This window comes from Homo sapiens, chromosome 12 (assembly GCF_000001405.40).
Source record: "Homo sapiens chromosome 12, GRCh38.p14 Primary Assembly".
Taxonomy (NCBI): domain Eukaryota; kingdom Metazoa; phylum Chordata; class Mammalia; order Primates; family Hominidae; genus Homo; species Homo sapiens.
The window spans coordinates 26,697,611-26,723,909 of NC_000012.12; the positions used below are offsets into that span (position 1 = coordinate 26,697,611).

Below are 26,299 nucleotides of genomic sequence, written 5' to 3' on the forward strand. Positions count from 1 at the left end.
TCATCCTGGCCAACATGGTAAGACCCCGTCTCTACTAAAAATTCAAAAATTAGCTGGGCATGGTGGCACGCACTTGTAATTCCAGCTACTTGGGAAGCTGAGCATGAGACTTGCTTGAACCCAGGAGGCAGAGGTTGCAGTGACTGCACTCCAGCCTGGATGACGAAGTGAGACTCTGTCTCAAAATAATTATAATAATAATAATATATAAATACTAAAATAACAATATAAATAATACAATATAAGAGAAGTTATGGAATTTCTTCATATTTCAATATACATGAAAACATAAATACAAAATTAAAGTCCACATTAGCACCAACAGCACAGTTACAGAAAATCAGCAATGCAGAGGATGAGCAGCTTAGCAGCTATCCCTCCATACAGAAGGAAGGTATCCAGAAATGATAATTAGAAAAAGAAAATGGTCACAGACAACCAGAGAAGAGACAACCAACTAATGAGGGACCAGAGCTCTCAAATGGAAGAGAGAATAAGTGGAACACAAACAATAATCAAAGATAATAGAAGATAAAATTTTCCTCAGCTGAAGAAAGAATTGTGTATGCAGAGGTTACTCTATCCATTGAAATCAACCACAAAAGATTGACACATTCATTTGAAGATGATAAGGGGAAAAGGCAGAGAAAACAGTGGTAGGGGTGTAAAACAGAGCCAGAAATTAGGCTAAGATTTTAAAAGCATGTCATGTAAGAGAAGAATGATAAACTAAATGTGGCATATTCAAACAATGGAGTACTACTCGGCAATGAACATGACGAGCTTCTCATGCAAGCGACAACCAAGAATGAATCTCAAAGACATTAAGTGGATGAAGGCACACACAAAACACAATGTACTGCATGATTCCATTTAAATGAAATAAACGAACAAACAAAACTACATTATGGTGAAACAAATCAGAAAATGAGTAGGAGTGTGAGGGAAGGGAGTATGGATGGAAAGCATTACCCAGACCAAGAGTTTCATGACAGCAGTCTTTCAGTTTTCAGAACTGACACACAAGGAGGGTAAGAAGATACAGGTCACCTGTTAATGCTGGGACAGCCACTGAGGGGACTTGAGGCTGGCCTCTGTCTACAGAGACCCAGACTTTCCCTCAGATTCCTTAAGTTCCCTTGAATTATGAGTAACAGAATTAGTTTCAAAACGGGATTTAATCCTGCTTTTAGAATCCAAGAGTGAAAGGTAGAGAGCAAAGAGTGAGTTAACTGGCCTCCTTTCTTCTGATTAAAGAAACACATTTTCACTTGTTAGTAAAGAAAATTCTAGCACGGTGTCCAGAAGAAATTTATTCATCTATTTTAGTCAAGTTTCACCATAGCTTTTTTAAAAATTTATTTGTCTTCTGCTTGAAAAATTTCAACTTTTCTTTTAAATTAAAAAAAATCCATCCTAAAATTTTAGCTAAATTATATCCAAATGATATGCAACATGTTCGACCAAGGATGTACCTTATGGCCCAAGTTTTCACTCAATACACATTAGAATGGTTATTACAGACACTTGAAATTCAATGCTGGAAACCATGACATATCCCCCACTAAAACATGCACAAAAACAGGAATTAATGTACCTAAGTCAAACACAAAATAAAATAATTTATGCCCTCTGAAACTTAGATCATATATTCTACCCCAAAGACAATGTTACCTTCTACAATCAGTCTTTACGTATTTCCCCTGCTTAGGATTACCCGTCCCTGACTGGCTGTCTGGGGAAGTGGATTCCAGTCTCTGCTCTATAAGGAAACACCAGCATCTTTAGGAAAGGTGGCCTAATGCCCATGGAACTCAGTGTCCTCATCTGCAAAATGAGAAAAAGACTATGACTAAACCATGACTCTATGTCAATAAATTTTACATATTCATATCTTTGGCAGCAAAACTACAGATGGTGCCAATCAGTTAGATTTTGCCTCATCTGTGTCTCTCAGGCTGCAATATGATTTTTTAAATAATTAACATAGAGAGATTACCTCAGTAAACTCAATAAAGTATAATAATAACAATAATGATGTGGAAGAAAAGGAAGAGGAGAAGGGAAAGAAGGACAAAAAGCCACCCAAATAAATCCAGGGCCATATAAATTTACCAACGTTAACTATTAAAGGCCAAATAAATATATGCTTTAAATTATACTGCTGTTTCCCATCTCTAAATTGAATAATAGCAGTAATTCTTAAAGTAAGAGAGTAAAAATGAATAGAAAAAAATTATTTTTTAAAGAAGGAGGAAAAAGACATGGTCATATGGAGGTCTTTTAGGACTTAATGTCTTTATGTTAAAAAAATAAATTATAAATCTGGCATTGGAGAGCTAATATGCCATTCAATCATTTATTCAATAAATATTAATAGAGCATCTATAATGGGCAAAGCATTGCGGCATATGGTATTTTAGCAAAGACAAAGAGAATATGGTCCCTGACCATAAGACATTACAACCTAGGAGGGAAAATAAGACATAAATACAGTCAGCTGAAATACAAAATAAAATGTGACAAGGGACATAAGACAGGAATGAATAATTTATAAATAATATAGGTCAGAGGAAGGAGGGATCTGTGGTGGGCAAATTTATTCACAAATTATTCATGGAGAAGGTAGCATTTGAGATAAGCCTTGAAGGATGGGTAGAATTTTAACTGGCAGGGCAGGAACCAGGGAGTGAAGAAGGCAGCAAGGCTGGAGGGGCCACTGCCACATGGGTGAGAAAAATGAGACTTCTTTAAAGAAGACCCACCAGTGTCACTTACGAAATACTTTTTTATATGCTTTTACAGGTTAATTCATTTAACCTTACAATTATACTATAAGACAAGATTCTTAACACAGTTTACAGACAAGGCACTTGGAGTACATCAACTGAAGTGCTTTATGCAAAGTCACACCGCTGGGGAGTGGCAGGGTGGGCAAGCACAGGTCTGAGGGCTCCAGAGCCACGTCTTTCAGTTCCTGTAGCACGCTGCTTCCCTCCTGCCTCCATAAAGCAGAGTGGTGTGATGCAAGCTGGGAAGGAGGGTCAGCCCAGATCATCCAGGCCTTTAAACCGCAGGCTAGAGAGTTTGCATCCATATTCAGATGATGCAAGGGGACAGAGGATGAAAAAGGGAAAGTAACTAAGGGCAGTGGTCCAAGGAAGAGGTGGGTGGACCCAAATGAAGATAATAATGCTGGAATAAAAAGGACAAAGTGGATGTGAAAGATTTTGCAGAGACAGAATCAGTAGAATCTGAATGTGTAAACTGAGAGAGAAAACCGTTTATCATGACTCTCAAGTCTTTAACTATGAACTAAGAAAAATCACTATTTTGCAAGGAAACAATTAAATTTTAGATAAATTTATTGATTTTGTATGGCAATGGCATATCCAAGATCAAAGGCAGGGTCCACTGCAGCCATGGCAGTGAGTAACAGAGAGAGAATACAGAGACCCATTACTAATCTTTGAAGACAGTCTTCAATTAACTGGCCAAAGAAGAATATAAAGAAGTCAGGTATGGTGCAAAATGATAGAGAGAGAGAAACATCATAAATACCTGGGCAGTGAAAGTCATGCTTGTACCGCAATCAATTAAAAAACAACTGCACCCCTCCATCTAACACAAAAGCAAGAAGCAGACCGTAAGTTTTTAAGTCCATAATACCTACTTATTTTCTTAAAAGAGAAGCTTTACTTTTTTTTACAATGAAATGTGTTTTGATCAATTTTTATTATATATAACACTGAAATCATAAACATCATGTGTGTATTTTTAAATGATTATATTTATATGTTTCTCTTTCCAACGACTGGCATTTCAGGACAAATCTATTATTGTGATTGATAAGCCTAGAAAAGAAAGGAGAGAAAATAACCTTTACTGGGTGTATATGTGTGTCAGGTACAATTTCTATATTTTGATATGTAACATTTTATTCGTATGTATAGGGTCTGGTCTGTATGTTAGTCTGCTGTATTTATGTATACATATACATGCATACAAACCAGGCCCTTTTCACATACTATGGCTGATACATTTGAGAGAGAACTAAACATAGAGACATTTAAAACTACAGCCCCAATAGTCATAAAATCCTATGCTATTATAGAGTTTCTTGAGTACTGGGTTTTTAGCTAATTAATTAAATCCACAGGCTATTGAATAGTCAGGAAATAAGTGTTTACTGCCATCTGGTGGAAGTTTTGCCTATCTACAAACAAATAAGCTAGTGATCTTTAAAAGGGCTTTTATTCCAATCTTGAATAAATGACATTATTATGCAGTACTTGATCTATATTGCTTTGGAAAGATCATCAAAAGTTTTTGCTTTAGTAAGATCCAAAGAAAGAAAATGCAGAAAGCATCAGATCATAAACTGTGAAGGCTGATTTATAATTCTTCCCACATCTGTGGAAGACCCATTTACTGAGGTCCCCATATTTTCCTATGCAAAATATGGTAAAATTACTTTCTCCCTCACAGACATAGTTGTGAACTTACCTGAACCACTACAATAATAATACAAGTAAAATATCTATGACAAAGTGTCGATGAGTGTGTGGACAGCTGTGTCAAAAATATCAGTGTATATTTACCTTCCCCTCATGCCACCTAACTACATATATGCCCCACAGAAACCAACATTGCAAGAGAAAGGGTCTAATAATATGCTCTGTATTACTTCATGAGATCAAAAATCTTTATCTTGTTCATAATTACTTTGTTCCACATTTTATCCATAGGTTTCTAGCATTGAGGTTTTTGGTTTGGTTTGGTTTTTGGGGGCGGGGGTGGGGGGTTGGTGTTTTTTTTTTCTTTTTTTTTTTTCTCCTTTTATTTTGAGACAGACTCTCACTCTGTCGCCCAGGCTGTAGTGCAGTGGTGCGATCTCGGCTCACTGCAACCTCCACCTCCTGGGTTCAAGTGATTCTCCTGCCTCAGCCTCCTGAGTAGCTGGGGCTACAGGCGTGTGCCACCATGCCCGGTTTATTTTTGTATTTTTAGTAGAGAGGGGGGTTTCACCATATTGGCCAGGCTAGTCTTGAACTCCTGACCTCAAGTGATCTGCCCACCTTGGCCTCCCAAAGTGCTGGGATTACAGTCTAGCACTGAGTTATTTCTTTAAAATTAATCCGAATCCCTAAACTATCCTGTTGGATATCTTTACATTGAATAAGGGACCATTTCTAACCCTTGGTTAGCTTTACTATCTTGCAGGATAAAACTTAAACCGTGTTAAATCTTGTATCATTATCCTAGTTCCTAGGTGTTTTCCGCAATTCACCAAAAAAAAGATGCTATTCTTAAATAGCTTGCAACATATGTGTTTTCTCTATGTGATTCAACTACGGAATTTCCAGCATATCAAATGGTCTGATTTCCTTTGGATAGTGCCCCCTTCACTTCCACATAAATAATTAGGCTTATTACATTTTTCTGAATACCTAAACAATCCAGTTAAGTGCTGGTTAAAATAGAGTATCATACTTGGGCACTGTATCTATAAGTAAATTTTAGATCTTCTTATCTAATTTGTGCTTAGATTTAAGGTTGCAGTCCTTTAAACTTACTGTGAGACTTAGCATGGTCACCTACAGATGTTAACAATTAGACATTACATAGAACCATTTCTCTCAGATGTGCATGTATAGTGGAAACAATGGCAAAAGAGATCTCAATGTCCCAGAGATTGAGTTAATCTAAATTGCAAACTCTTAGAGGACAAGGACCATGTGTTAATCATCTCTGTTTTCTTCACAATGTCAAAGTAGTACTTCTACCTAGTAGGCATTCAATAAATGTATACTTTCAGTATAATACAGATCAGAGTTTCTCAACCCTTAGCATTACTGGTATCTTGAACCCGATAATTCTTTGTTGGGAGGGGCTGTCCTGTGTATAGTAGGATGTTTAGCTACATCCCATTCCCTAACTGTGACAATAAATAGCAGCTCCCATTCCCCAACTGTGAAAATAAAAATGTCTCTAGACATTGCCATCGTTACCCTCAGTTGAAAGCATTCATTCCTAATACTTTCATTATATCGGTTTTTTGATTTTAACAAAATAAATCACCTCTGTGAGCCTGGATTTCTTTTTCTGTAAACTAAAATTATTGGATTTATAACAACAGTCATAGTCCCTGTGATTCATTCATTCAATCATCCAACAGTTACTGAAGGCAAATTAAGTGTCAGGCACTCTTCTAGGCACAAGGCATCCAGCAATGAGCAAAACAGATACAGGCCTTTCATTGCAGGGAACAAAATAGCCATTGAATAGATATACACAATACATACAACAGGTAACAAACAAATGCATAGCTAACTGTGAACTGTGATAAGCCCAAAGAAATGCTATAAACATTTCCTCCCTAAGTGGGGGATTTCTGAAATATCTCAACAGGTTTATGGAGAGTAACTGTGGCATTATCCAGAATCAAAGGCTTTTAAAATTCTAAAATGCTCAATGAACTCTAACTGCGCTATATTATTTAAAAGACCACAATTTAAGTTGCTACACAATAGCGTGAGTTAAACTCAAATGTATAGACCATAAAAAAACTATTTCAAGTTATTCAAAAGAAACTTCATTTCTGCTTTAGAAAAATTTATCTAAAGAATTCAGAGAAATAAAAGCAATATATGTTAAAATATTCTAATAATCCAGGTCATGGATAGTCTTTTCAGCTGTTCTCCTAGATAAGCACTCAGCATACTTTGCCCAGTTGATTAAGAGTAATGTCACCCAAAATGTCTATTTATAAATCACGGAAGTGACTGGCTGGCTGTGTGTTATACCTGACATAGGAACTGCACAACAGATCATGAGATATTATTGGAAGGATTTTCAGTGGCTCCATGAGGCAGTGTTTCCTATGTCAAAGCATTGTAGTAATCTTTTCCAGATAAACATATTAAATAACTAAACTTTGCCCCTATATACTTACCCTCCTTAACTTATCTAAGACATGCTAGTTATTAATAATGATAATAATAAAACACTACTCTGCATTTTCTCTCTGTTTCCTCCCCAAGAAAGCAAACAGACTTAATATTTATTGCATACCTCTCATGTACAAGGTGCTGTACATCCCCTATCTTCTTTAATTCCAGAATAATACTATATAATATACATTCTTAACTTTTTTTACACACAAAGGAACTCAGGTCCAGAGGGGTTAAATATTTGCTTAAAGTCAGACAGATTGTAAACAGTATGCATGGGATTTTTTTCCCACTATGCTAGGCTCTGTCACACTGGCCAATATAAACACCATAAACTCAAAGGCAATTCAAGAATTACATAATCCAATTTACCAGGAATGCCTACAGCACATGAAAGTAATATTTTAAATTATAAATATGTCTGTTAAAGTTGGAAAGGTCATGGGAAAAAAGGTTAATACTCTGCAATATCTAGCCGCACTGCTAGGTACTTCCCTTTAATGCAAAAACAGCAGCATCCTCAACCACCTCATTTTTAAAAATACATTTTATAAAAATCATCTAATAGGGCTCTTAATTTTCCCTGGCCTGCAACTCTGCTTCCCCTTTTCACAGCAGTGCTATGAAAACTCAGTCTGCACCCACTTCTGCTTCCTGGCTTCCTGGTCATTCCTCCACTCCTGCATTCTGGTTTCCACTAAAAATTTTCCCCATAAAGTAACAAATGATTGCATTCTTGCCAGCTGATGTAAGCAGATTTGTTTCTGGCCTGTTTAGTAGCACTTCCTCCTTTGCGAAGTTCTCTCCTTCCTTGCTTGGTATTTGTAATTCAGCCCATTTGATTTTCCAGGTGCTTCTGGCTTCTCAGGCTCCCAGTCTCTCCCTCATCCTTTAAAGATAATTTCCTCATGATTCTACCTTCAAACACCCTCCCACTCTCTTTCTACTCCCTAATGATCTTACCTGCGCTCTGAAAACCCAAATCTAACACTGGTCAATCCCCAAACTTCCAGACGTTTTGAAATCTTCCCTAGTGGACAATTTCATCCAGACATTTTATAAGCATAATCAAATTTGAATGGATTATTTCCCTCATCAATTTGGCACCTCTTCTCATTTTCCCTAATTTGGTGAATGACATCGCTAGTTCTCCAAAGCCAGAATCCTATTCCTTAACCCTTAACACCTGACGGCTTACCACTGCATCAGTTCTGTCTCCCAAGAATGCCTTCAACCCTTCCCTTCCTCACCATTACTGAAGCCTCTCCCTTGGTTCAAGTGCTCAAAATTACTAAAGCAAAAACTGTTGATGACCTTTCCAAAGCAATATAGGTCAAGTAATGCAAAATAATTTTCTTTGTTAAAGATTGTAATATAGCCCTTTTAAAGACAACTACCTTATTTGTTTGTAGATAGGCAAAACTTCCACCAGATGGCAAAGAAAGAAAATGTAGAAAGCAGATCATTCAGACTCTTATCTGGCCTCACTGCCTCTAGATTCAATTTCTTCTAGTCACTTCACCAAGGCTCCAGAGCAGTGCTGCCCACCACAACTGTCTCTTTGGAAATGTGCATTATTTCGTGTGGCGTGGCTGTTGAGCAACTTGAAATGTGGCTGTTGTGAATGAGAAACTGACTTTTTAATTTTATTTTGATAATATTAATTTTAATTTAATAGCCAACATGTGGCTAGAAACTACTATATTACACAGTACAACTCTGGAGTGGTCTTCTTTAATCACAAATCTATTTATTATACTCCTCTGTACTTTAAAGATAAAACCCATTCTCCTTGATATATATGGCCTGAACTGATCAGCTGCACTACACTTCTGGCCCCATCGCTTCCCTCTCACCTTCTAACATTACTTCCTAACTCACAAGTCCTACATATGAAACGAGTTTGTATGGTGCCACACACCTCCTTCCTTGTGTACAAGCTGCCCTCACTGTCTGAACGCCCTTTCTCCCTCTTCCCCATGTGCCTTACTCATTCATTAAGCAGCAACCTCTCTGACCCCCTGACCATTTCTTGCACATCCTTGAGACCCCCTGAGAAAAGTGTGGGCCACTATTCATATTGCTATCATAAATGTATCACACTGTACTGGGATTTTTTTAATGACATCACTGATCTCTACCAAAGGCCTGCTAATAGCTGATCAGTCCCAGCCTCGAGGTAGCTACCAAGTTAAACTTCCTCAAACTTCATTCCTATTACAAACTGGATAAAAGTCAAACCCTTCATTCAAAATCTTAAAGCAAGGAGACCTGTCAGTCATTCCTTTCACAACACCTTCCTTGGGCTGGGCCTCAGTTTTAATATTGTCTATGTATGATTTGGACATTCTGTATCTCTGATGCGCCTTCTTAGCAACTTACACAGGACCGCCCTTTTATTTCTCTAACAGTCCATGTCTATTATTTTCTTTGAGAACCAGTTTGCCCCAAGCAAGAATCTTCAACTAACCTCACACCAGATTCTCTCACTGGAATATGACCCAATTCTACCTGCACATATAATTAGCCCTCCCTGATTGTGCCGCGCTGTCTTCCGAACTAGAAGCTCCATTCTTTGAAGGCAAAGACTGAGTCCTCAGCTTCCTTTGCCGTACCTGCAGCATTCTACCATGCTGTGCATTTACCAGGCACTGAAGAAACATATATTGAAGGTTGCATGAAATCTTAAAGACTATGTTTGCAATTTTATGAATTCCAAAAATAATCATTCCCAATTCTTGCATTCCCCACATCCCAATATGTGTCTTTTTAAAAATAATATCTAGATATTAAAGAGAAAACTGAACAAGTAAAATAAATCTGTGCCATGGAGCCTCTATCGCCTAAGAATAAGGGTACAGGGTAATAAAACAAATAATTCTAGGAGGTTGTCACTCAAAATATAGAGAACCCCCGTCCTACTTGAACGACATGACTAATGCTTTGAAATAAAAAACCTGGGCTATTTTATTTTATTTTATTTTTTGAGACAGAGTCTTGTTCTTTTGCCCACGCTGAAGTGCAATGGCACGATCTTGGCTCACTGCAACCTCCACCTCCCAGGTTCAAGCAATTCTCTCCCACATCTGCCTCCCAAGTAGCTGGGATTACAGGCACCCGCCATCATGCCTGGCTAATTATTGTATTTTTGTAGAGACAGGGCACCATGTTGGCCAGGCTAGTCTTGAACTCCTGACCTCAGGTGATCCACCCGCCTCAGCCTCCTAAAGTGCTGGGAATACAGATGTGAGCCACCGCGCCTGGCCAACCTGGGCATTTTTTGACAAGAGATTAATAACCAGAATATATAAGGAGCTAAAACAACTCAACAGACAAAAAAAAAAATTAATAATCTGATTTAAAAATGAGTAAAAGATCTGAATACAAATTTCTCAAAAGAAGACATACAAATGGCAAACAAATATATAAAAAAATGCTTAACATCATTAATCATCAGAGAAATGCCAACCAAAACTACAATAAGATATCATCTCACCCCGTTTAAAATGACTATTATCCAAAAGAAAGGCAATAACAAATGCTGATGAAGATGTGGAGAAAGGGGAACCCTCACATGGTTGGTAGGAATGTAAATTAGTGCAGCCACTATAGAGAACAGTATGGCGGTTCCTCAAAAAACTAAAAATAGAGCTACCATATGATCCGGCAATCCTACTGCTAGGTATACACCCAAAAGGAAGGAAATCAGTATATGGAAGAGGTACCTGCATTCCCATGTTTATTACAGCACTACACACAATAGCCAAGATTTGGAATCAACCTAAGTATACATCAACAGATGAATGGATAAAGAAAATGTAGTACCTGTTCACAGTGGAATATTATTCAGCCATAAAAAAGAACGAGATCCTGTCATTTGCAACAATATGGATAAAACTGGAGGACATTATGTTAAGTGAAATAAGCCAGGCACAGAATGACAAATTTCACATGTTCTCACTCATATGTGGGAGCTAAAAATTAAAACAATTGAACTTATGAAGCTAGGGAGTAGAAGGATAGTTACCAGAGGCTAGGAAGGGTGACAGGGAGGGAGAGAAAAGGTGGAGGTGATTAATGGGTACAAAAATATAGTTCGACAGAAGGAGTAAGATCTAGAATTTGATAGCCCAACAGGGTAATACACAGTTAACAACAATTTATTGTATATTTTAAAATAACTAAAAGAGTAGAATTGGAATGTTCCTAATACAAAGAAATGATAAATGCCTGAGGTGACCAATATCCCAAATACCCTATGTGATTATTACACATTGTATGCCTGCATCAAGACATCACACGTGCCCCATAAGTGTATACGTATACTATGTGTCCATAAAAATTAAAAAGTTTAAGAAAGAAATAAAGACCTGGGCATTTTTAGAAAGCAAAATGATAAACGTGTAATCATTGCTTCTCAACTGCTGTCAGAGGCTAGTTACCAGCTGTTCCTGGACTAGAAATCATTGTGATTTGGCCACACCTCTAGACACTTTCACACCAGTAAGGACAAGCATCCTGAGACATGAGCACACCAGGATTTTGTCCCAACTGACATAGAAAATACAAAACACCAATGTATGGATGCCAGGATTTTGAGGCTATGATTGCTATTTTGATATTAGAACACTACACAGAGCACCCATTCTGTTACACTAGTTAAAATCAGTAGAAAATAAATTCGTAACTTTCAGTTTTCAGATATGTGCTTAATACTTAATTTTCCTCCTCCCACTAGACCATAAAAAAGATGTTATCTAAAGTATTAAAGGTCAAAGAAAAGGTCCTCTAAATACACCAGACTCTTTAATGGATGAGACGGCACCTGGCATTTAAAGCTGCATTCTCTAGAGACAGGATGAAAGAGAGTCTTTCAAATCTTTTCAAGGAATGATTTGCTTTCTACTTCTCCATTTTTAATTAATTCGTGTATATATTGAAGTCTTGGATCCTCACTAAGGTTAATGAACAATTTAATTCTTAAAAATCTAATCATTTGAATGCATCAAATGGTACATGTTTTAATTATAGAAATTAACAAAGAAAACTAGTAATATACATGTACATCATGTCAGTTTTCTACAGCACATCAGTAGATTTGCTTGAAAAGTGAACAGGGGAAAAGAGCCACTAACATAAGAGAATTTTAATCCTAATTTCTTATCTTTTATAGGATATCTAGTTAGGCTTTTGTAATTTTTATTTTAGACAAGATTCTCTACCTTACTAATGATTTTTGCTTCAATGAGTTGCTTTTCAAAAGGGTTACTTTAAAACATTTACGCTATAAACAGACTGTAAATTGCAAAGCTGTATTTCATCTAGTTGAGCACTAAATAATGTGTTAGATACTTAAAAAAGTAAAAATAATCCCTGTTTATCACATAAAATTAGGCAGGGCACAGTGGCTCATGCCTATAATCCCAGGGCTTTGGGAGGCCGAGGCAGGCGCTTGAGTCCAGGAGTCTGAGACCAGCCTGGCCAACATGGCAAAACCCCTTCTCTACTGAAAATATAAAACATAGCCAGGCATGGTGGTGTGAACCTGTAGTCCCAGCTACTCAGGAGGCTGAAGCAAGAGGATTGCTTGAACCTGGGAGGCATAGGTTGAGTGCATCACGGCACTCCAGCCTGGGCAACAGGGCAAGAATCTGTCTCAAAAACAAAAATTAGTCATGCCAGCATCACTTACCCTGTGCTTACCATAAACCACAACTTCTGCAAGCACTTTGCCTAATTTAATTCTAATAAGTTAAGAGAATTAGAAATATATTTGATTATCCCCATTTTCCAGAAGAAGAAATTGGAGTGTAGTGTGATTAATTTGCCCAATATGTCTCCAAATGCATCTCATATACAAATCCTGAAATCTCCTTCTCCCCATCCTCTATCCATTCACAAAATAGTCATCAAATGCTAAGTGCCCAGCACAGTTCCATGAATGGAAATTTTCATACATCTGGAAAAGACTAGCTTCAAAATTATTTTTCAATTAGATAACCAAACTTTAATTAAAACATTTGTAAAACTTCCATGATGTTATTTCTACCTATCCTTCATATCTTCTGACATCCTTCATATCTGTCTGTCAACATACTTTTAGTGGATAAAGAAAAAGCTTTTGTACGTTTTTACCATTTTATTGACAGTTTTACGAAGAAAACATTTTCCTTCCCAATGATTTGAATAATAAAAGCCACCCACAGTGAAAGAGGCCACTGCAGATGAACCCAAAGCTAGCTAGGCTATATGACACGGGCAATGAACTGATCATATCTATGATGCGGACATTCTGAAAGGGTGAAGCTAAATAGAAAATTTTAGGCCACATCACATACATATGCAAATCAGATGCCCCATTCCAGTTGGCCTTCCAGTAAAACAACTGCAGAGTTTTTGTTGTTATTATCGTTGTTGTCTTAATTTGTAATACTTTGACTAACATTTACATTTTAAAAATAATTTATATGCCAATCCAGAATACTAGAGGCAACAATCAAATTTGTGTAATGACTGTTCCTGCAAATACGATGTCTTGTGGCGAACCCAACTGCCTCTTTCACTAATTCAGAGTCAGAAACTTAATACCACTTTATCCATTAGTCTTACCTCTGCAGCTAAATAGTTTCCAGTTGCAAGATGCTTAAATCTGAACAAGCTGTTCCACTGTCCTGCACCCCCACGGCATGGGTCATGATGAACCACCTACAAAGAGAGCAACGATAGTAATGGCAAAACAATATTTATGTTCCTGGCAAGCAAACACCAACAGTTTACATGCCTGCCCTCCTGTTAATACTGATCTGTCAAACCTAATATATGTTTCCATGAGAGCATAATGTGGCAGAAAAACAAAATTCCCCATAAATGAGCAAGAGAAATGTTATAACAGTTGTTAACTCGTGCATGCATGACACTTGTGCCTTACATCTGCAAACACAGCTTTACTCAGAAAGACATGTTTCCAAGACCAAAGTGGAAATACTGAGATTTTCTTCCCTTTGTTTTTCAAACATTTACTTGGCAGCTTGCATTAAGAGCCCACTATGTGCCAAGTACCTTCAAGAGAAGAGAAACACAGCAGTGGATAAAGCTAGAGCTTCCATTCTAATGGAAAAGAGAGAGCCAGCGAACAAAGAAATAAGTAAGATTTGACAAGTGCCAGAAACAACACAGGGGAAGTACATGATTGAGTAACTAGGGAAGGCAACTTTAGATATGACCATCATGAGTATGGGCCACTTTGAGATGTCATGTGAGCTGAAACCTGGAGGATGAGAAAGACAGCCACGTAGATTGGAAGAGAGAATCACAAACGTCAAGGCCTAAGGTCTAAACTACTTAATTCTTAGCCCTTTCCATGCATGCTTTTTATTGACAGCATGTCTTTTGATACCTGTCTCTGAATTGACCTTGCCCAGATGCTGAGCCCCTAGGCTCACTGGGAATGAATGCAGTAGAAGCTCTGACACACCTGGTTATGACAGGCGGGATGGGCAGCAGAAAAGCTCGGGTTTTACACTCCAATTCAGGCATGTGAGTCTCAGGTCCACCAATTACTGGGGTATGACCACAGAAAGGAATTTAACATCTTTGAGCCTTATTTCTTCGTGTACAAAATGGGTTGATTCACAGGATTGTTGTGAAGATGAAATATCATAAGGCATATCACAATGCTAGGATAACTTTCATGACTCTCCCTCAGCACATTACGTTCTTTTTGCTAGTACTGACCACCCTTTGGCTCCTGCTGCAACCACGAATTCTGTGTGTTAACATACTTCACTTGCTAATGCCTTTTGCTAGACTCCAGCAACTGTCTTCCCATACTCTCATAACTCAGATAAGATAATAATTATGAAAATACTTCAAAGTCCTTGAGGTCTTACAAAACACTCCCTCTGTGGCCAAAAGCCCACCTATCCTTCAAATTCTCACATCACATTTCTTCCACAAATCCTTTGCTAATCACACTGGCCACTGTGATCTTGTCAGTGTTTGAACTCTTAAACCTTTGAGGGAGGCAGAGATATCTGCGAGAATGTGATAAAATCTAATGTTTGTCTCAAATACACACACACACACACACACACACACACACACACACACACAATTTTGTGGTTTGTATATAAATGCTAAGGTTAACAAATGATCTGAAGATCCCAGACTAAGAACTACTCTCCTATACATCAGTGGGTCTGGCAAGGGCAGTACGGCTCCCTAGAGGGGATATTCTAGAGATTTGGAAGGGAGGGTGTTTTTGTTTATCACAATGATTTTGGAGGGATGCTATTGGCATTTAATATGCAGTGACCAAGATATTATCTATGCTGCAATTTACAGGGAATTCCAGAATGTGATCAACACTGTGTGTGGCCCTCAGGACCAGCCCCACCCTGCTAAGTGCTCCCCTGCATCACAGGGGCTGAAAGCCTCACCCAGCGGGGCTCTGAGGACATTCCCGTTAGAATGGAAAGCAGAGGACAGTAGAAGAGAGACTCCTCTTTGGGCTGCAGTAACAGTGGGAGCAGCTGACTAGTGCCCGCTCCTACAAGGTGCGTGGGTAAGGACCCCTCAGCATGTGAGCAGAGGCCTGCAGGCTCAGAGGAGGAGCAGTCATTGCATTGCTTATCTGCATTCAGATAAGCCCATGTCCCCCACTCCACATTTCCTCCCCAGCCCTTCCAATCATGTTGAACGTAATTTCCCTCTTCCTTGAAACACCTGATGCCCATGCTGGGTAAGCACAGTCCTCAGGCTTCCTCACAAAGCCCAACTGTGACAGCACACAATAGAGAAAAGTCCCTCAAATCTCAAATAGAAATAAGCCTACCACCGATATAAACTGGCAATACTTTAGTACATCAGCAGATAAAAACATTTTACATCAAGTTATATGAAATTCATTACGGTGAGGGACGTTTAAATGAAGTAAAGACATCTCAAAATTATTAAACAATTTATTCGCTCCCTATTCTGGTCAATGTGTCACAGCATTTCCAACTATGCATTTTGATGGAAAGGGTTCACTGCAGTAGTACAGTTACAGCAAAAGCTATAAAACTAAAAGCAAAAATATGAGAGAATTTTCAAAACTCCTTTTAACAGACTCAGAACCAATATTAAATAAGCAGAGACACATCAAATGCAGGTAACTCACTGTATTTCATTAACAGAGTTTTAAATAATATCTCATCTTATTGCTACCTCTATATTTTTTTAATTTTTAAAAACAGCAAAATATTAAGAACTTTATGGTGTGAAAATGCATGCTTTAATTATGTATTTATTTTAGGATTGCCTGTTATTTTTCAGTTTTGCTCTTATGAATGAGGTAGACTTCTGGGAGGTGTTTCATGCAGCCTCGTGTATTATTAGCTTTAGTCATAGCTGTTTTCCCCAGAGCTTCTCAGTTCCATCACCTGTTGATGGTTGTGGTCTCCAAAGTCCATCTGCATGCTAGCGACTGAAATTATTCCTCAATATGTTGTGGAGTTTCAAGATAGAAGATAAGTTCTTTTGTACTATTTCATCTCGATTCTAAACCATGTCATAAACTTAGTTCTTTTTTAGTGTCATATTTATAAATAAGGCTCAGCTCATTTGCAGAGGCATCTTACTTCCTCATTTTCTGCATCTCGTCGGTAATTTGCCTAAAGTATTATCCCTACTTTGATTATGGTTATCTCTCCGTTTTTCAGTTTGTTCCGTTATTACGTCTCCTAACACTGGTTATCATTCAAGGGCCCACATTTACCTTTGCTTTTTCATTTTCCTGTACTTGTATGGGCTGTCTTCTGATCCACTTCTTTAACCACTTCTCTCAAATCCAAACATATCCATCCAAGATGGGCATAAATATTGTATCTTTTAGATAGTCATTCTCATGTTGAAATACATATTATTTTATTATAAAGTATTTTCCTTTTATTTATTCTTTATGTTAGAATTTGAGCATTATACTAATTCTACCTATTAGTATATAAATAATATTACCTATAAATTTCATTTTAGAATATTAAAGGGAGTGTCACAAAATATATGTTTTAAAATTGGGGGCAGGTGAAGAATTTGAAATGGTTGAGAATCACCGCTAGTGGTTTAGATGTTTAGTAAATCTCTTGTTCATAGGCAATTCTGTAGATCTTATCTCCTCCACATATAAAAAGATCCTTTAAGGAAAAATCCATAGATTACATTTCCTTAATTACTCTACCATGTTCCACATTTAAGTGATACTTTTAAAAAGATGAATGAATTCTTAACTATGGGTCTCCTGATTCCAATAGAAATGGCATCTACAGAAGAAATAAACATTGTTCTCCTCAGGGACTGAGTAGTTCTGGCCTCAACCTTCCTCAAAGTGAGGCATCCTACTCCATCTTGACTCCAGTGCCATTTGAGTCACATGGTCTTCAGTCTAACTAGTCTTGACATTTCACAATTGATTTGTTAAAAGTAAGATCGTAATGTACCTTTTGTAAATGTGTGTGTGTGTGTGCACTTGACAGAGAAGGAGAGAGAGAAAATGAGAGCTACCACAGAGAAGACAGGCTTAGGAAACAGTTTCCTTTCAAATTGGTCACAGCAATGAATAGGCACAAGTTGGTTCACAAAAATTATTCTATTTTATGATTCTATCATAAATGATGCCTATAACAATAAAACAACAAGCCCAGTGAATCTTCTCTTTTTGATCTAAATATTTATTAAGTGCCAAAAAACATTTACATACCTCTATTTCCCAGAGTGCTTTAGAACTAGTAGCAGAAGTAGCTGATTGGCGCAAGGTCGTACGAAGGAAAATGTGCTGTTTTTTCTCATATTCATCACAAGTCAAAAACTTCTCTTGTTCCGCATGAAATAATCTAACAACGTCCCCCTAGCAAAAAGGTCAAGAGACATCTGAACAAACAGATGTGAGAAGCAGGTGTCTCTTTCTGGTTTTGCTACTCTGGGCCCTTCTACTAGCTATTTGACTTTTAAAGCTTATTTAAATTTATTTAATGCTTATTTAAACATTTAAAAATGTGGGGGGGAAATTCAGTAAAACACTTAGAGTAAGTATTAACATGTGTAGTCACATTCTAAATTATGAACACCAGTGAATACATAGGTTTTGCATCTAGAATTTCAGTAAGACTACCATCATTTCTCCCAGCAAATGTCCTGTGTAGCACATACTTACTCCTTTTAATACATCCTCTCGATAGGAACTATATTTCATGAATAAAGTGATTTTCCAGCTGGTGTTGCAATTGACAGCATTCACCTATTAATGAAGAAACGTTCAAAGTTATAAGACTACAGATTCCATTCTCTACCAGAAATTATTAGTTCAACTAGTAAAAGGAAATTAAAGACAATTTTGGATAATGAAGTATATAGCTCAATACAAGTATCTTTGAGAGACCATCCAAAAATAGCAATAACTAATCACAGCTATATGTACCTTAGGGATATTAATTAGAATAACTGGGATTATGCTCATGAAAACAATGAAAGAAACTATATTACTTTTTTCTCCCTCTGTCTCATGAGAAAAATGAACACATTCATTCCTTTTCCACTTGAACTTACCTCTTTACACCCTGGGTTATCAAGAAGCTCTATGTTGCTGGCATGTAGTGGCTGCCCTGCATTCACAGGCATCAAAACAACTTTATCTCCTACAACAATCTAGGAAGCAGAAATAAATCACAATTGAGACACTGCATGGATCTTTGGTGCTATATTCGAAGCTAGAAATAACTGCACAGGAGTCCCCATTATTGATCTGACATCTGGTCCTTTTATCCTTCACACAAATTTTCATACAATCCTTTTTCTCTTTGAGGTAAAATATCTTCTAATAAATGATCATATAACCATGTCCCATAGTGCCTATCAGTCTGGATTCATAAAGCTAGTGTGGATCTTTTTCATATTCATCTCCCATTTCAGTTAGAGCTTCCTTAAAGTCAATAAATAGGCCATTATCCCTCCCCACGAGGTCTTATGCCATAAGCACAACAGAAAGAGTAAATGCATCTGTCACCACAAAAAAGTAATCTATCCAAATATTAGAACCACTGCAAAAGCAAGCAGAAAATGTTATACACTTGTATTATCTTTTATAAGAGATGAGTAAATTTGATCTTCCCATAGTCTCAGAAGTGTATTAAAAATTCTAATGTCAGCTCGATTCAGGAAATGCAGAATTAGGTATGACCTTGTAGAAATATGTTTTGTGTTTGAGCCTTGGGCATCCGATTCACTCATATCTTAAATATATTAAACTAATATTGCTCCTTAAACCTGATGTTCATTTTTAAATAAAAACTAAAATTGATTCTTGGAAAAGTGCTCTACAGAAGTAACTCTAATTGATTTTTTAATGTATGTTATTGTAGCAATATCCACCTTCTCTTTAAGTATTTTTATTCATAACTCAAATTGTGGGGAATCAAAGTTATCCTTTCTTCATGATAACAATGAACAGTTTAATTTCCATTATTAAAGTTACTTACATTGCTGAATTTATTTAGAAGACATATTATTATAGTAAATAAAATCTCACTTAAAGAATTGATCACTGTCTCAAAAATGAAAACCAAAACCCTCCCTTTGTATATTTTATACCAAGTAAATATTAGAATAAATTAGTTTGATAGATAAATGATAAAACAAATCAGGATTCAGTCGATATGAATAAACAGAACTTCTCCATGTAGTGTATCTTAATCTAAGCCCAAACTTTAAAAAACATAATTTCATATTTTCAATATCAGATATCCTCATATGGATGATACGGAGGAGTCCATGCTCACATATGGTACTGTTGTCACAAACTATATCTGGCGATTGAAATATAATAGAGAAGCCTCAAGCTCACCAACCAAACAAAGAAAGGTTGTGCTTTGGTTTGTGGAAACAACTCCTGCTGTTTACAGGACTGGTCTCTACTCATCACGTCCATAAGAAGTCAGATGCTGTAACTCACAAAGATTCATCATAGAAGCTCTCTATATACAGTTAAGGAAAGATCATTAAGGAGCAGTATTAAGTGAAAAGATGAATAGGCAGAGCAAGGCATGTAGTATGCTATCATTCGTGTACAAATGTGAGGGAGGGAATAGGAGGATCTGCATAAATAAATCTCTCCAGTGCATACCTGAGGAAGAAGAAGAGTAGAAATCGGACAGATGGAATAAAAAGAGTAGAAGAGAGATTTTTCACAATATATCTTTACATTGTTTTCTATCTTTGAACCATGAATTGGTATCCCTTTTAAAAATTAAATTATGAGCAAAAACAAATGAAAGTCAACATGACATAAGCATATTCCCAATCCCCATTCTCCCTAGGAAAACACGTGCTGTTGCACATGACAGCAAGGCAGCTCCAAGTCACAGAGCCATGTAGAGGCCTGAGTCATCATCCATACTCTAAAGTACTGGGAGCTTGATGCCACATTTTGCCAGTGCTGCATCTGTTCTTCCAATTACATTTTTTTCTTTATTTCTTCTAAAAAACAAAAACAAAAACAAAAAAACAAAACAGAATACATGTGCAGAACGTGCAGGTTTGTTACATAGGTATACATGTGCCCTGATGGCTTACTGCACCTATTGACCCGTCCTCTAAGTTCCCTCCCCTCACCCCCCACCCCCTGACAGGCTCTGGTGTGTGTTGTTCCCCTCTCTGTGTCCATGTGTTCTCAACTTCCAATTTCTTAAAGAACAACTGGATTTGGTTTACTATTTGATTCTCATCTGTGCCATATAAATCCTAGCCAATAAGTTACTAAATATAATGACATATTTTAACTATGTCCTTCCAATTCAAGAATACTTTTGGTTGCACCTACATTCGCTGCTCTAAGTCTTGCTATTTTACTATAGTTGTCTGTAAGCTTTGGGTCAATCCGTATATTTACTTCAAAATACCACCCATAAAACTGTATATATATATAAGGTTTTAAATATATATATAGACTTAAATATATAATATATACAAATATGTGCATATATATAGTATATATATATGTGTGTGTGTATATATATATAGTTTTTTCTGTTTTTTGAGATGGGGTCTCGCTCTGTCACCCAGGCTGGAGTACAGTGGCACAATCTCAACTCACTGCAACCTCTGCTTCCCAGGTTCAAGCGATTCTCTTGCCTCAGCCTCCCAAGTAGCTGGGATCACACGTGTGTGCACCATCACACCCAGCTAATTTTTGTATTTTTAGTAGATACGGGGTTTCACTACGTTGGTCAGGCTGGTTTCGAACTCCTAACCTCAGGTGATTCACCTGCCTCAGCCTCCCAAAGGATTACATAGGCGTGAACCACTGTGCCCAGCCTAACATTGTATATATTAAGAGACCAATCATATAGCCAAAATGTTCCTTGGTATCTGTGAAACAGCTTCCAGTGGTTCATTAAAAAATGGTATTCATAAGTAGAATCTAACATTAATTCAGTAATTTTCAGATCCTCATTCTTATTCTTGACAATGATTACCTTGCCTAACCAAGCTGAATAAAACTTGCAAGTGAAATGGATAAACTACCAATCATGTGAAATAAAAAGAATATTAAGAAGTTCCAGGGAGAAAACAAAAAGGTCTAAGAAATAGTCCCTATTCTCACAGAATTCATACCTAATTAGATAACTTAGCAAATATGAAATATGGTAATATTTTCAAAATAGTGAAGCTCAGGACGTGATTCACAGATGGGGTCAGGTGCTTTCTGAGAAGCTATGTATTTAATATAGAACTTGAGGGTGAAGTCATTTTCTGCCACATCCTAGGATAAGCCATCACATTCACTCTAGTACACAAACATGTTTTTTATAAATTGCAATTCCAAAAGCACTTCTGTTGATTCTATGTAAGAGCCATGTAAGATTCAAGCTGAGATTTCGCTGAAAATAAAGAGGGATATAACATCACTAGCAGCTACCCTTCTTTTGAAGTGGCACCTGGTATGGTGAAAAGAACATCACAATAGGAATCTAAACGCCAGGGTTCTAGTTCCACCGCAGCTAGAAATTCAACACTTTTTTTTATTACACTTTAAGTTTTAGGGTACATGTGCACAACGTGCAGGTTTGTTACATATGTATACATGTGTCATGTTGGTGTGCTGCACCCATTAACTCGTCATTTAGCATTAGGTATATCTCCTAATGCTATCCCTCCCCGCTCTCCCCACCCCACAACAGTCCCTGGTGGGCACACACTTTTTCTAAAACGCAAAGTCTACTTGCTGTTTGAAGAGTTTCTTTTTTCAAGAGTTAAAATTTTCTCTTCATTTAAAGAATATCTGACCTTTATTCCCTTTTAAAATCTACCATAAAAGTAAAGAACCCAAGTTTTCTTAGATCAAAATTGAAAATGAAAAATTAACTATTCAACCATGGGAAGATACATAAAGATAAAAAAATAAGGAAAGAAAAATGAAATATTTATGTTCTCTGCTCATAGCTGTCCCTAGTGACTTTGCAGTTCAACTGCAACCAAGGGCTTTGTATACAGCTGAAAGTACAGGGATCCATGAGTCTATTTCTTCCCCAAAACCATCCATCCCACAATTCCATAAGCTATATCATAAAGTTGCCCTTAAGTAATAGGAACTATTACCTTTTGAAGATAGGGTTTCCTTTCTCCCAGACTATCGTCAGCCTATTTATTGCATTTCATTTGGGTAACAGAACATCTTGTTGGATGTTAAAACCTCATCTTAAAATATCATCTTAAAACCTCATCTATTGTTAAATAGTAAAATATCATTTTAAAAGTCCTCTAAACATTGCAATTTCCTTTTTCTAATTTAATGTGTTTTTAAAGAAAATCAGTAGTAGTTGAACCACTGGTTATGAAGTGACCGTATTTCCAATTGCCTTCCACACAGTCGGTTTATATTTTAGAAATACGCTACCTATTTTAGGGAAAAAAACGAGTATTACAATACAATTATTTATGTGACCAATATAGGGTTGTGGGTGTGCTTATGCTTTCAGCAACCTTAATTACACACAAAAGCTACACAGTGGCAAACAAAAACGGTGAGCTGTTTCAGCAAAAAGCAGTGTGGAAAGTTGTTTCAGCCATGCTTTCTGAAGCACATCCAGATAAGAACTCCTGTATTGCACTTAACAATTACATTGTCCATTTTCACCAAGATTGAGTGTTTGGGTGGTAGGTTTTGTTTTGTTTTGGTTTTCCAGTACAACTAATTATTTGAAATAGTTCATTACATTCAACTCTCTGTTGACTGTGTAAAGGCAGCAAGGAAAAGAATAGATAAAATGAATAAATAAGCAGATAGGATGAATTAATATAATCCACGGCTAATTTAAAAACTCCAATTCATTCAATTATTTCATCACATTCCTTCCGAGCTTGAGCTCAGGTTTTGTTTGTTTTCATATTTAATTTTCATGGACCTCCTGTAGACAGGGATACTATTCAGTGGAGGGCTGGGGATGGGAACAAGCATTGCAAGAAAGAGCCTCAAAGGCACAGGTTGTTCATAAACTACATAATCAGTCCCTGAACAATTGAGAGTTGATTGTAATGAACTATTTAATGAAACTAAAATGTGTATCATGCTCACAGCACACATCACCTGATGTCAAAAGAAAAAAAAGTAGGGTTTTTTTTTTAAGAAATCCAACCAACACAAGACTTAAAGTGCATCACATTCCTGCATGCCATGCTTCTACCAAACCTTACCAAAGGAAGATATCACCAGATAATTTATTAACCAAATTAAATCCAGAAGCTTGCATCCTGTGGAATTGAATTTGTATTTCAAAATTCACTGGAAAAATTAGATTCACGATAAAGACATTCCTAAGACAAGAAATATCCAAAACACATTTAAAATGTAATCAAAGTTTCAACTGAAAAAACTCTCTCAGAATAATTATACTTTTATATTGCTTCGAATTCATGTTAATTTTTTTAAATCTTAACTATTGATCCCCTGATGCAATACTTGCAGGTATTTATGAAACTTATTCAGCGCTCAGTGTCTAGCAGCATTTCCTGAGCATCGTCCATGTGCTAAGGACTATCACGCAGTATTTTATTTATTACATGCAAAAATATCACACTCTAGATCCTATTGACTATTTCTCATAATTTATTCTCTATTTTATAAAGTAGCAGAAAATATTTCAGCAACTACTAAAATTTATGTGCAATACACACATATTCCACAACATTAAAAAAATTTTTTTTTTAGAAACAAGGTCTTGCTATGTTGCCCAGGCTGGTCTTGAACCCGTGGGCTCAAGTGATTCTCCTGCCTCAGTGCCCCAACTAGTCCACAACATATTGTAAACATAGTTGTCATCAATGAGCAGATGCCAACCTTCAGCTCCTCTACTCCATCTCTATTAAGACTTATAGACTGTCAGCAGCTGGCATACAGCCAGTAAATGGAATCCTGTCATGAATCACGGTGTCACTCCATTAATTCAAAGGGCACACACTATTTCCTAAACACAGCTCTTTTTCCTTATGACCAAGCTTCCTCCTAATTAGGCAAAAAAGTAAATTCTCCTTCTCTTTTAAAAGTCTCAGCCAATATTAAGGTTGCTTAAGTTCTTTCATACAAATTCTAGCTGGAAGATTTTAAATTAATCTGAACTTTGTCTTATGACTTCTGAGCACAATTTGTACTATAAATAAACATGTTTAACCTAGTAGATACTAACATAAAAATCAGGTATTGAGTAAAAACTATATTTTCTTTTTTGTACTTTCTGGATTATCTTACTTATTAGGAATCATTTTCTTTATGAACCCACTATTTCCCTCTTAATTGTATATTACATACATTGTCACCCTCGCTTCTCAGTTTCCAGAACGGATGAATATAAAACCAAGACCCTTCATTTCCTGCAGCATCCAAGGACACACGCATGGCATTCTTCTCCAGTAAAGCAGGTAATCTCTTGTTGACAGTAAGATATTTGTTGCTTTTTATATGCAGTAGCTATAGGGAAAAGACATAGATTACCACCTTTATTCTTTGTTCTCCTCTGTTAATTACATTCATATGTTTTATACATGTATCATATATTCATCTAACATGGCTTGAGATGAAAATTAAACAAAGGAGTATTTTCAGCCTCCACACTCACCATCTTTCCTACTTGACTTTCTTTGGGTTCTTCCTCCCCTTCACCCCAATTCTGCTTCATAATGAAGTCGGCATAATAGGGAAAAAAAAACAGGGGACCCCTCCGAGTGATTTTCATCTACTGATAAATAATGGCTAAAACTAGGTTTTCCAAAGGAGACCTTGAGTTTCCCCAAAACCACATCCTTTCTCAATGCCTGCATAGCCACAAAAACAGAATATACTAAAGAAAGGCCAAGAAACTCAAATAATGCACCAACCCACTTACTATTATTAACCAGCCCTGCCCACAGTCAGCCCTGATTCTTCCTCTGTAAGGAGGCAGCTGCTCATCCTAAATAGGCTTCTACACCTTCTGCCAGGGGATGCTGACCCTACCCCCTCCCAGATGAGTGTAAAAGCATCACTTCTCAGATTTTTTTGGACTTTGTGAACAAAATCTTACAAAAACATGATTCTACTGAGTAGCAAAACCAAAACAAAATAACCTTTCCATCTATTATTACAATCATTTCAAAAAACAATGGTCATTTTAGTACTCACAATATAAGTAAGAAATTATCTCAAAATAAAGTACGGTTCTTTAATTGAAAAAAAATCAGCATTTTAAAATGCTCATTATCATACTCTTGGGTCCTTATGTTACCACAAAGCAATGGAAACCCTCATGGGCTGGACTTTGGGATCCACCATGTTCAAGAACATGGCTCAGCCCCTCAATGACCAAGCTAACACCTGCGCTTCGGGTACTTGACAAGAAACATAAGTTCCACTTGCTGACATTTAACCGAAACTTGGTTAAGAGAAACTCTATTTATGAAGGATTGCCCCAGGGACATCCAGCCCACTCAGGTTGCAGGTTTCACATTATCCATCATTCGATTAAGTCATACATTCAGGGAGCTGCCGACCCAGCTTCTCTCATCTTATCCCAACAGTGCACTGCTTTGACTGCCCTGTGTTCTGGCATTTTGCCATTGGCCAGTAACAAAATATCAGGGATATTATTTTAAAAGACAGCTCTATGAAATGCCTCATTGTAGCATTTACTGTAAGGAAGCTGTCAAGGCTATTGTTTACTATATTACACAGTGTCCTCTTTATGAGCACACATAGGAGAAACACTTCCCTGGTCCTATTCCTGGGAACAGTTGTGCTTCTAGACCTCTGATTTGGCTCTGTGCTGCGGATCTCCTAGCCAACGATG

The 26,299-nt window shown here is 37.0% G+C and overlaps 1 protein-coding gene across 8 annotated transcripts in view; it reads right to left on the minus strand.

Moving 5' to 3' along the window:
• The window catches only part of ITPR2 (inositol 1,4,5-trisphosphate receptor type 2), a 497,843-nt gene that overhangs the window by 362,259 nt on the left and 109,285 nt on the right, over positions 1 to 26,299 (minus strand). For 5 of the 8 annotated variants that reach the window (XR_001748686.3, XR_001748687.2, XM_017019266.2 and 2 more), the window contains 6 exons: positions 24,787 to 24,945; positions 18,534 to 18,632; positions 18,142 to 18,225; positions 17,689 to 17,835; positions 13,563 to 13,658; positions 3,562 to 3,621 (listed from right to left, as the gene is read on the minus strand). Coding sequence is in view for 6 of the 8 variants with exons in the window: in XM_017019266.2 (XP_016874755.1) it covers positions 3,562 to 3,621; positions 13,563 to 13,658; positions 17,689 to 17,835; positions 18,142 to 18,225; positions 18,534 to 18,632; positions 24,787 to 24,945 (645 nt within the window). In the remaining 2 variants the exon portion in view is untranslated. The remainder of the gene's footprint in view (positions 1 to 3,561; positions 3,622 to 13,562; positions 13,659 to 17,688; positions 17,836 to 18,141; positions 18,226 to 18,533; positions 18,633 to 24,786; positions 24,946 to 26,299) is intronic. The other 3 variants (NM_001414174.1, NM_001414175.1, NM_002223.4) reach the window with 1 other exon arrangement.